The sequence below is a fragment of the Homo sapiens genome, chromosome 4, assembly GCF_000001405.40.
Source record: "Homo sapiens chromosome 4, GRCh38.p14 Primary Assembly".
Taxonomy (NCBI): domain Eukaryota; kingdom Metazoa; phylum Chordata; class Mammalia; order Primates; family Hominidae; genus Homo; species Homo sapiens.
Window position 1 is genome coordinate 11,764,775 of NC_000004.12, and position 12,741 is coordinate 11,777,515.

The 12,741-nt window shown below is 36.7% G+C and overlaps 2 long non-coding RNA genes across 4 annotated transcripts in view; one reads left to right on the forward strand and one right to left on the reverse strand.

The window, feature by feature from the left end:
* Nucleotides 1–4,694, reverse strand: part of LINC02360 (long intergenic non-protein coding RNA 2360) — a 28,518-nt gene extending 23,824 nt beyond the window's left edge. Inside the window, exon 1 of the long non-coding RNA NR_146995.1 lies at nt 4,529–4,694. This is a non-coding gene — a long non-coding RNA (long intergenic non-protein coding RNA 2360). The remainder of the gene's footprint in view (nt 1–4,528) is intronic.
* Nucleotides 1–12,741, forward strand: part of LOC107986178 (uncharacterized) — a 245,894-nt gene that overhangs the window by 220,802 nt on the left and 12,351 nt on the right. The window contains exons 3-5 of one of the 3 annotated variants that reach the window (NR_188483.1): nt 5,535–5,701; nt 5,838–5,914; nt 6,931–9,101. This is a non-coding gene — a long non-coding RNA (uncharacterized LOC107986178). Of the gene's footprint in view, nt 1–3,953; nt 4,037–5,534; nt 5,702–5,837; nt 5,915–6,930; nt 9,102–12,741 lie in introns of those variants that run through there. The other 2 variants (NR_188484.1, NR_188485.1) reach the window with 2 other exon arrangements.

Consider the following 12,741-nt stretch of genomic DNA (forward strand, 5'->3'; position numbering starts at 1 on the left):
GTTTGATGAATTTCCATTTGTCTATTTTTGTTTTTTGTTGGCTGAGCTTTTGGGGTCAATTCCAAAAAAGCATTGCCCAGACCAATGTCATATAGTTTTTTCCCTATTGTTTTTTCAGTAGTTTTATAATTTAAGGTCTTATGTTTGTCTTTAATCCATTTTAAGTAGATTTTTGTGTATGTGAAGGGCCCAATTCCATTCTCTTGTATGGGGGTACCTAGTTTTTCCAAAACAATTTGTTGAAAATGTTCTCCTTTCACTATTTTGTGTTTTTGGCATCCTTATTGGTGATCAATTGACTGTATGTATAATGTATAAATTTATTTCTGGGCTTGAAAGACTCAATGATCGTGTTTAACTATCAGATTTAAAGCATGCATACCAAAATATTTTATATATTTTTTCACTCTTCTAAGTTATATATAGGTACCATATATTATATATAAGATAAAAGTAAATCAAAATAGAAATAAGAATAAAATAACAAATATACAAATGTTATAAATATGGAATATATTCTAAACTCATAAATATCTTCTTTTGCACTCTGAATAACAAATTGTAGGCCAGTCCTTGTAGCTAAATTCTTATTTTGAAACATTTAAAGCCATCTTTACACATTTTTTTCTTTCCCTATGTTTTTCAAGATTAATCTTCTGAAGTGGGAAAACTAGAATTATATCAGGGACTCCCCAGGGTAAAATTTGATTCTCAAATCTTTATTCTTTTTCCCCTGAAATATAAAACATGACATTATATACAAAAGGAGTCTTGCTTTCAAATCAGGATTTTTGCATTAGACTATTTAATATATCCAACATTTATTCTGCTTATTGAAACTACATGTATATGATATACCTAGGTAAATATTACAGAAGGGACTTCTTATTTTCTCTTTACAGTCAAGTGTAATATGATTAGACACAAAGTTGATATTTCTCCAGCTAGATTACTTGATGTCAGGTATTTTGAGGTCTCATGTTTCAGGTAGGGGAAAAAAATATGAAGAAACCAGGTTTTGCCGAAGGTCACCCTTAGAATCAGCGATAAAATCAAGATGTATGAGTTACTAGTCTGTATTTTACCAGAATTTGTTTTAGATAATTTCATCAAAACACTATCTAATCTATCTGAAGATAGTAAATTTCAAGAAGTAAATTAATGTATTAATGACTGTTCTGAAAATATATGTATTTTTTAACTTGTAAAATGTGTTAGAGAAAAAAATGAGACACTTAAGAGATCCTCCCAGGTATCCTCCGAGTGGGGATAAAACGTCCACTAGAGGGCATTTCTCCCTGGACGCTCTGTTGTCAAGGCTGTAAGCTCATTCCCCAAAATGCTATGAACTCATTTTATCAAATTGGGAGTAACTAACTAACTAAAAAAATTGAATGTGAAGTATTCTGATGCTTCCAGATTCACACAAATAAGATCAGAACCACCTTTCCATTTCAAAATTGACAGAATTTGAGAGGCTATCCATTTCTGATAACTCTCCTAGTGTCAAGCATGTTGCATGTGTACTTTTTTTTAACCACTAAAACAAATTTGAAAGTAAAATGTTATTATACAAATTTAGGGAGAGATGAGAAAACTAGAGTCAACTAATCTATGTGTATTGTGCTCTTATTGTCATGATTTCTATGTGGTTTCATGCCCAATGACGTCTTTGTATAAAAAATATACAGATAGATATAACTATGCTTATTTTTCTTATGTGTGTTATGCGCTGTTTAGTTGTATATGTTTCAGCTGTATGTTCTAATATCCATATACATACTGAAATGATTACCACAGTGAATCATGCTAACGTATCCATCTGTTTACATAGTTACTCTTCTCTTTTTGTGTGTATGTGTGATATAAGTGTCTGAAATCTACTGTTAGTAAATTTCTAACATGCAATACAATATTATTAACTATAATTCTTCTGCTATGCTTTAGACCTCTAGACTTATTCACCCTACATAAGTGCAAGTTTGTATCCTCAGACCTACCACTCCTCATTTCCCCTGCTCCCCATCCGTGGCTGGTAACCACCATTCTACTATCTGCCTGTATGAATTTGATTTTGTTATATTCCACTTGTAAGTGAGATCATACAGCACTTATTCTGTGACTATATTATTTCAGTTAGCTTGATTCCCTCAAGGTTCATCATGTGGTCACATATTCTATAATGTTCGGCTTTTATATGGCAGAATAACATTCCATTCCATGGCCGTTGCATAGTTTTCGGTAATTGTCTAGCCATCTTAGGTATTCCTGGTTGTTTAGAAGCATCATTCTTATTTCTGCCTTTATCTTCATATGGTGTTCTGTGTGTATGTGTGTACCTTCATGTCCAAATTTCCTTTTTACATGAGAATACCAGTCACAGTAGATTAGGGTCCCATTGTACTCTAGAATGGCCTCTTCTTAACCTACCTAATTATATCTTCAGTGACCTTACTTCCTAATTAAGGCACATTTTGAAGTATTAGGGGCCTTCAACATAGGGCTTTCTAGGGAAACATTTCAACCTACAATAGTCACTTTATGTTTTACTCTATGATTGGCACTAGACTGGGTCCTCCAATAAATAGATGAGCCATTCTTGCTCCTTGCTCTTTAGAATACTACGTGGAGTCCAAGAAGAACAGAGAGTGATTAATTGGGAAGATGTTGCTTCAGACAAAAAAAAAAAAAAAAAAAAAGGAAAAATGGCTTTAGATTGGAGAGTGACCTAATTTAAAACCGGTTCTGAGAAAAAACTTCATGTGACCTTGAACAATTTATTTTACCATTTTTTTGTTTCTTCACATAGAAGATAAAATAGAAGATAAAATTATTGAATTGGATCTGTCACTGCCCAGCAATAATGCACATTAGACATGGATTTTGTAGAAACACTATAGTAGATGATGCCTAAACCATCTTTCAATTCTAAGAGGTTGTCACATGCATCTGGAAGAGCCTGAGAATGCTTTTGAGTTATACGTTGAGCTTGACACCAAATACTGACCAACTTGGTAACATCCCCTCTTTCCTTACCTCCATTCCTTTTCAATACATATGTTTCTATGATATATTGTATGTTTTTATGATATAATTGCTAGGCCTCAAAATTTTGAATCCTACTCTAAGACATGTGAGGTGTGACTGATGCTTAGAAAATTATGCTGATAAATTATAAAAACATCATAAAACCAGGATTTATTATTGTTTTTTATTCTAGGACTATTTCATTCTAAAATTATTGTTCTTTCCTCTACTATATGATCAAGTCTCTATAGCTTTTGAAAAATTCAACCTCTCTAAATATTTTTCAATTGGATTTGGAGTGTTTTAAATGTTACTTGAGCTTCATTTTTAATTTTTTAATTTTTAAAAATGTTTTCTAACGGGCATGAAGCATAATAAGATTTTTATATTCTTTATTCCTTCCTTGTGCAGCTAGGACAGGACAGTTTTCTATATTTTTGGGAGAAAGAACAATTAGATAGATTGTCATCATAAACTCTTGTTGTCAAAGGACAGTTTAATTCCATTGTCAAGTGCTGATGTCTTTGGTGCTAACTGCTGAGCGTTAAGAAGTTCTGTTCTCACTGCCAGAGGCTTACTCATGTTAAATTCTTGTCAGCCTCCCTAATCATAAGCTGCTTAAATGAGGAAAAAAAACAGTAACAGTGCTTCCAAATCTGAACGAAGTATGCTATATAAAGTTGGTGGACATGGTAACAAGACTTGCCAAAGAAATATTCTAGCCAGCAGTGATACGGCATCCTGAGTAACGAGCTTAAGCAATTGCCTAGACCTTGGTGTGTCATCCTAAAAGTAAAATGGAAACATATACCTAAAGAAACAAAGAAATAACAACATTTAAATTATTGAAACGAGCAATAGATAAAGTGATATATTTGGATCTTCTACCCTGAAATAAGCCCCTCTCTGCCCTGGTGTCATTTCAGGCCAACGAGCTATACCTAGTGATTCCAAAGTCCACATATATTTACTCTGTTCTCACTGTACAAAGTAACCACTCTGAAGTCAAGTAAGTCATTGTCGATAGATAGTACTAATTACATTAGGTTTTATATATGTGTGTCTGAACATACTATATAACAAACATATACAGTACACAATTTTGCCTTTTATATACTTGCATGTGTGCATATATATGTACATATGCAATCATGCATAGTTAATGGCACATGTATACACTTGTGAAATAGAATACCTACCAATTGCTAATGAAGGGATTTCTCTGATACCAATTCAACTTGTATGGGGAAAGCTACTTACCTGCTTTATTTCTCAATTTTCTCATCTATGACACAACGTAAGCAGGTGCACGTTATGTGTGTTGTCTCCTAGCTCTTAAATCAGAAATCAATTTTATAACATGAATTGCACTTATCCAATAGGAGAAACACTTTCTAGCTTCAGAGTATAATTGGTATAGTTTTACATTGCAAGTAACAGAAGCCCCATGGAGCCAAATTGATCAAAATACGGTATTTCAGAAGGATGAGGTGGATCTTACCTCAGGCATAGATGCGTACATAGATTCCAATGAAAATAATGTGGCACTGTCTTCTTGTAGCTCTGCCTTTTCTTCTGTGCTGGGCTCTTATTTACCTGCTACAGGCTGATATTCTCCGTATGGTTGAGTATACGTCCAAGCACTGCGAAGCTTCACCTCTACCTGGCCTCCAACACACCAAAGAGGCTTTTAGAACTGCCGTTAGAACAGTCCTGGGAGAGCTTGGATTTCTGAGTTGAGACAAGTGTAAACCCTTAAAGCAATCAGTCAAGCTGTGTGAACAATTTTCCATGATACTCTGGACTAGGATGACCCATCCAAGAATTGGCAGGAAACCAGCTGGACCAGCCATCCTTACACAGATTTATTTCCCCATATTTCAAGGAAGTGAGCCATTTTGCTTGATCCAGCACATACTTATCTACAGTGCTTAAAACTAAGAACTCAGATACAGTGTCTTAAAGGCTTATTTCCTCTTACTCTTCAACATGAGCCTCTGCTTACCATTGTCAATCACTATGAATTTTCTTGTGTTTCATATTTTCTTGACTCTGGCTTATCTTGATAATTTCCTCCTCTTCCTAAAGCCCTTAGCATGCCTATCTTGTATACTTTGCCACCCACAACTCCAGATTTTCTCTACAAAACGTTGAAACAAATAAATACACATAGAAACAAAACAAAAATAATAACTTAGCACACCTCTCTAGTAAATATTGTTTTCCTCAATGCTGGTGTCGAGAAATATTTTCTAAACTCCCACAGTGCCCTAGATTTTTCTCTGTTATTGCACTTACTACAAGATACAGTGCTTTTTCTTTCCTACTACCAGACTCTTGCATAAATAAGGCATGTTTTGATTTAAAGAGACATAAACACAAATTGAAATATTTAAAAAGAAAAAAAACTGGAAGGATCCCAGTACTTCCATAACTACCAGAGAGTTGTCTTCATATTTCTTGTATTTGCTGACTTTGAATGTCCATTTTATGCTCTCCTTTTCCAGAAAAGCTGGGATACATGAAGACTGCCATCCCTTGAGTCACTTGCCCTGTAGCTGCCACTGTTGGAAAAGGGCTTGCTTCTGTGTCCTTGTGCCCACTTTGAAAATCCCTGGGAAGTCCTTGGAGTCAGATGAGCAGGCCTCCGCCACTCTGCCAAAAAGTCTGTTCAGTGAGTTTAGAATCATATAGAAAAGACATGGATGTGGGGGATCCTGTGCCATGTATTTGAAACAGTAGCTGCCATATAATATGCTTTCGGTATATGAATGAATTCAAAAGGATATTATCATGCTCATACCTTCTAGATCAGGAGTCCCCAACCCCTGAGCCATGGACTGATATGGAGCTATGGTCTGTTAGGAACTGGGCTGCCCAGGAGGAGGTAAGTGGCAGGCAGGCAGAGCATTACCACCTGAGCTCCGCCTCCCATCACATCAATGGCAGCAGGGCACTAGATTCTCATAGGAGTGTGAACCCCACTGTGCATGTGAGGGATAGAAGCTGCACACTCCTTATGAGAATCTAATGTCTGACGAGCTGAGGTGGAACAGTTTAATCCCAAAACCATCCTCCTGCACCCACAAGTCTGTGGAAAGATTGTCTTCCATGAAACTGGTCCCTGGTGCCAAAAAGATTGGGGTCCACTGTTCTAGAACTTAAACGGTGAAAAAGTTTCAATTGTAGACTCATATAAGTTGCCAGTTGGTGTAAAGCACTGGCTTTTCTCCCTTTTGGAGAATGCTTAGGAATAATTGACTTTTTCAGATTTCAGTTTTCTGCACTTTTCATCTGTGTAAAAGGGTATTTATGATAAGGATATGTGCGCTAAAGGCCCAGATTCCAGATTAATAGCACAAAGCTTTCTTGTGAGTTAATACTATAATTATACTTTTTTCCCTTAAGGCTGTATTTTTTTTCTGATTTTCTGATATTTTTCTCCATAGCCAAAATGGTGTTTAAGAAATTAAAGGCCAGCTTGAATGTGGAAGCTCAACTATAACTACAGGGCAAAAAACTAAATCTTGTCATAATATTCATGAGTGGTTATTAATAATGAGGACTTGCAACACTTTTATCTTGGCCATGGAATTAAAATATACAGATTACTTTCCATTAACATTAAGATACCATGAATAAAAGACCAAGTTTGTAATAATTAGAGTAGGTTTCAGAATTTTGCCCTGCACTCAACTCGTTACTTTTTTTAATTTTATTTTTAATTGTTGCAACCTCTGTGCCTCCATTTCTAATTTATTTATACAACGACGATTTTAATGCTTTTCTGACAAAAAAGTCAAAGGGGTAATGTGAAAGCAAATACATTTTCTTGTTTTAATGCATAGATAAACATAGTGCCAGTTCTCCTGTGTTAACTTTTTTTTTTTCCCCATCTTCAAGCAATGGTGCTTCTACAATTTCCTTATAGGAGGAGTGAAGAGTAAGCATTTGGATTGGACCAGGATTTGGAGAACTTGTCATGTTGCTCTACGTGCATATGAAATACATCATTGTAACTTAGAATGTGAATTACAGAACAAACATGAAAGTTAGAAAAATATTCTAAACATATTTTTATGATCTCTACTTGCAATAAGGAAACTGTTAGGCTTTTCCATCAAAGAATAAGTGCAACAAAAACAAAAATTTCTGGATGGAAAAAAGGAGATTTGAGGGGCAAGGCTAAAGCCCCCCAAACCTTCCTCAGGATGAACACAAACCCCATCTTTATTTTCCTGTTGCCACTGTTCCATGTTGCTGGGCTCTATTCCAGCAAAATTTTGGAAAGCGTTGCTACAGTTCTGCTCATTTCTTTCTCACTTCAGAACAATGATGCCCTTTCCAGATAAAGCATCTTAATTAAACAGATGACATTTGAACTAGACCTTGAAGAACAGGTCAGAGTTATATTGGGAAAGAAGTAGGAGAGGAACACCCAGAAAATAACATTTATGAACATAAAGGCACAGAATATAAATGTCTCTGACAAAGACAGAAATCAAGGGTAAATTTTAGTGTGGCATAGATTAATTCACTAACTCAATATATATATATTTACATAGAGAGCATGGATAGATACTAGAAATAAAACAATGGATTAGACATGGGCAACCTCATGATGTTTAGCAAATATTGTGTTCTTTAAGGCAGCAGTTCCCAACCTTTTTGGTACTAGGGACCGGTTACGTGGAAGACAATTTTTCCACAGACTGGGATGGGGGGACTGTTTTCAAGACAATTCAAGCACGTTACATTTATGGTGCACTTTATTTCTATTATTACTGCATTGTAATACATAATGAAATAAGTACACAACTCACCATAATGTGGCATCATTGGAAGCCCTGAGCGTGCTTTCCTGCAACTAGACAGTTCCCTCTGGGGCCAATGGGAAACAATGACAGATCATCAGGCATTAGATTCTCATGAGGAGCCCGCAACCTACATCCCTCACATGCACAGTCCACAATAGGATTCATGCGCCTATGAGAATCTAGTGTCATGGCTGGCAGATATAACAGAAGATGGAGTTCAGGCGATAATGTGAGTAAGAGGGAGCGGCCAGAAATACAGATGAAACTTCACTCACTCACTTGCCACTCACCTCCTGGTCTGCGTCCTGGTTCCTAACGGGCCATGGATAGTTACAAGTCTGTGGCCCAGGGGGTTGAAGACCCCTGCCCTAGAGTACATATGCAGTGGATGTTGAGAAACAGATTAATTCATTAATGCAGAGTCTTCATATTCCAAACAAAAGATTTGAGGGTTTTATCTGTTATAACAACACTTGTGTTTCACTAATTATGTCAGGCACGACTCTAATAACTTCAAATTTATTCACTCACCTATTATTAGAACAACATTATGATATAGGAATACACTTGATATGTCCATTATACTGATGAGGAGATTCAGACATAGAGTAGTTATTTAACTTGGGTAAGGTCTTCAGAGCTAATAAGAGGAAGAACCAGGACTTGAGCATGGGTAGGGTGGCTTCAGAGTGGTAGTCTGGCTGTTTGTTTGTAATCACCAAAATGAAGCTACAGTGATGTTTCAGTTTACATAACAGAGTCCTGAGGCTTAAAGATGCCAGGAAATTAATTTAAAGATATTGTAGTACGTATCCCTGTCCAGACTAGAACTCCAGTCCAGGAGAACGCCAGTGCTCCTTCTGTTTCACATAGAGAACACATCAGTACTGTGACACACAGAAAGGTTTTAGTGGGATGCTTGGTTAAGAGAAATACGTTTACAACAAAAGAGGTGATACTGTTGCTTGTCTTAGAAAAATATGGGAGACCTCAATCAGCTGAAGTTCAACATGTTCAAAGGTGGACAAAGTTTCTCGTTGCTCTAAGTAAGTTTAAAATTGAGCCAAAAAGGTCTTGATTGATAAGGGTGGCTGATACATTTTTGAATGTTTTCACTGGCATGATTCACAAAATTGTATAAATTGTATAGTCCCAGGCTATCCCACCATTAACTGCCTCATGGGGACTGTCTCTAACTTCCCCAGGACTTGATCCATAGGGAAATGCTTGCAAGAATAAAAAGCATTAATGAATTCAGGATTCGTTTCTCACTAAACAGCAGTTTGGGGTGATGTCACACACACACACACACACACACACACACAAAAATGGAACAAGCCAGCCCCATTTTCAGCATTGCCTCATTTAAGCTTGGCACACAAAGACAATTGATGCTGACTCAGAGTTATTTCAAGATGGAAAGAGTGTCCTGAATTATCACACCCCACGTAATCCTAGCCACCCTGTATTCCTTCTCCTTACTGTCCCATAGGTGGGTACATCCATCCCAGATAACAAGGTTTGACTCATTTAAGGCCCTTTTCCTTCTGCACAAGATCCTGAAATTTTCCCTACCGTGTGTGTTTGATGGTGCAGAAGAAATAATTCTCAAAAATAAACTAGTTTATCATTAGATGGAAGCAAGGTATCACCTTTATTAATGAGAAAGCAGAGTTTGAAGGACATAGTGCATTCCTCATGCAGCTAGACCCTCTGCTATTGGCTCCTGCCTTTAAATTAGAAAGCCTTACTTTTCCATCTGCAGGTATTGCTATCCCTTTACAAGCCTCTGCTCCCACGGAAAGAAAATTGTGCAACATACGACAAAAAGCAATAGAGGCTTCAGACTCTCCAAAAAGAAAAAGAAATTATGTCAAGAATGTAGTTTATTATTTCCCAATTGACTCTAAGATTAAATTGACTCTAAGATTAGTCAGTAACTTTTCCATGATGTAATGAGTAATGAGACAGAGAGAAGCAGAGTGTTCCACTAATTGATCTCAATCCACAAGAAAGGAAAAGTATTTCCTCCTTCCTTCCTCCACATTGTGTTCTCTTAGAACTGTGCTTTACTTGCCCAGGGAAAAGAACACAAGTTGAGTTTAAGAAGCCAGTTCTTCCCATTCCAAGATGAGGCCCCACATCCAATGCTAACACTACTTCTTGGAGTGAATACACTTTAGAACTATCAATGAATGAACTGAGCTGAACTTCCCCAACCCCTGTAGACTCTAAAATGGGTCAGAAGAGCACATTGGTTAAAACAAGTCTAAGGCTGAAAATTTAATCTCTATTTGATTTTCTGGCTTACATTTTTTTTCTCAGTAACCTTGCCAAAATAGCCTAGTAGGAGATCCATTTTGAACTTGAGTGATAACATAATTATACTCGAATCACAAAATGTCAATAATGAGATGACCCACATTTAAATAACATATTTTTTTGCTACTATAACATTACTGGGCCTATATTAAAATAGAAAGATTAAATTATTTTGCAACTTACTTAAAGTATAAATATAATGCTTCCAAAGAATTAAGGGCCAAATCATTTTTTTTCCTGATACTTGTGAGGTAAAATTTAACAGATTTTAAAGTCCCCACTCATTTAATTTTTTGGCCACTTGGTGTCAGCTGGAAGAGTTCTCAATACATTGGACAAGACAGTGATCTCTAAGCATTTGAAAATTGAGCTCTTTCTCATTGGAAGGGGTGTATTTTCTTCTTCATGGTCTCAGAGGTTGTATTTGTTTAACACTGAGTCTCTGAAGTTCTTCACTATTTAAAAAATTCCAAGAAGTTACTGTTAAAGAAAAGATTATCATAGCAATGGCATTTATTCTGAGAACTGGATAAACAGCAATCCATCACGGCTTCTAGAAGAGTTTTCACAGAGAAAAATATTTTCAACCTGATCATTTGTATTGCCAAAGACTGCGGCAGAAACTTAGTATTGTGCTAAAAGAAGATGGATATCTTGGTGGAGACCTTGCTGGCATATCATTCAGTTCATGCTATTTTTAAAAAATCTAATAATTGAAATTTTAACTCAGTTGGAAAACTTTCTCACCAAGATATTCATTCTGGAATTTTTTACTATATCAATAAAATTTACTTATAACTACTGCCTGATAAGTCAGAATGGATTTGCTTGCTTTTCCACTCATAACATTCAAAAGCTCCTGGCTTCCATGTCTGCTGAATGGGGATTCTACAAAGTAAATGGAGTTCCCCACACTTTCTTATGATAAAGAATTTTTCAGTTCTGAAATACTAAGGCTGCTTCTCCTTCATTTAATTTATCTTTCAAATTTTTAAGACATATAAAAATATCCCTTCTTTGAGAGGGTTTCCCCTCTTATAAGTAATTAAGAGATACAGAATTAATTTATCACAAGATAGTGTTGATAGCAGGAGGGTGAGTTAGTTGATACTTGACCCCATGGAAAAGCTGGTTGATATGGTTGACTGTGTTCCCACCCAAATCTCATCTTGAATTGTATTCCCCATAATTCTCACATATTGAGGGATGGACCTGGTGGGAGGCGACTGGATTATAGGAGCAGTTTCCCCCATGCTGTTCTCGTGATAGTGAGTTCTCACAAGATCTGATGGTTTAGCTTCCTTCCTTCAATTCTCTCTCTCACCTGCTGCCATATAAGACGTGCCTGCGTCACCTTCAGCCATGATAATAAGTTTCCTGAGGCCTCCCCAGCCATGCAGAACTGTAAGTCAATTAAACCTCCTTCCTTTATAAATTACCCAGTCTCGGTGATATTCTTTATAGGAGTGTGAGAACAGACTTATACCCTGGTACTGCCTCTAGACCTGCAATCTCCTTCCTCAACTTGAATCATAACTAAAATTCGGCAGCCAATTTAACCTTTTCCCTAGGCCTGGTGTTAACAGTTTCAACCTAGAACTACCCTTGTGCACTGTAACACACTCATAATTCACTTTCTTTCAGACTAAGCACAGCACATATTCCTCAACCACTGAGGCCTAAAAGTTCTTTAGTGATGATATGTTGTCTCTAATCAAACTCTTGCCTCAGCTGACCCTTTTAACTGATGCCTCTGAGGCCACCACTATTTGCATGCTCCCTGTTCTTCATGCACATAAACTAAGCACAGGTCAAGATCACAGTGCTGGGACCTGTACCCACAGGCAGTCTACAAATTTGTTGGGACTCCAGAAGCCCTCTTCACATTTGTTGGGGTGTCCTTCTATATAAGCTATCACAGAACTCTGGCCAGTGTCACAATAACCTGCAGTAACCTGCCATGGTCAAAATAGTCCAAAGATTCAAAGATTCAAAGTCCCTAGACCATGCCACACATTCATAAAGCCAACTCCACAATGAAAAACCAGCTGCACTGTGTAATGCAGGTGGCAAGTCACTAAGATTAAAAAAAAAGAGAAAAAAAAAAAAAAACAGCCAGCATGGCCTGTGCTTAGAAAAGCACAGTTTACAAGCATCTGTTCCAGCTCTGCCAAAAGCCAAAATCATTCCATGCATAACTTGTTTCCAAAATTTTACACCTTGCTCATTTCTCAAGGTGCATAGCCCACGCATCAGAGTTATTTGAGAGAAGCTAAATGAATAACATTCCTTTTGCCATGACCTGGATTACAAACTAACTGAAAAATAACGTTTCAAGCAAATAAAAGCCAAAATATACCCATTATTAATAATAAGGGTAGATTGGGATACAAAACTTACATTTGTGAGCAATTGGACGTACTAACACTAGCTTCTGAATTAGACACACTTACTGATCCAACCATAGATAATTCTGCATGGAAACAGACCTGGTAAAAGTTACAGAATGAAGGAACAACATGTGATAAATGCATCTGCTGTGAGACAAACTTTCAAGGCACACGGTTTGCACACA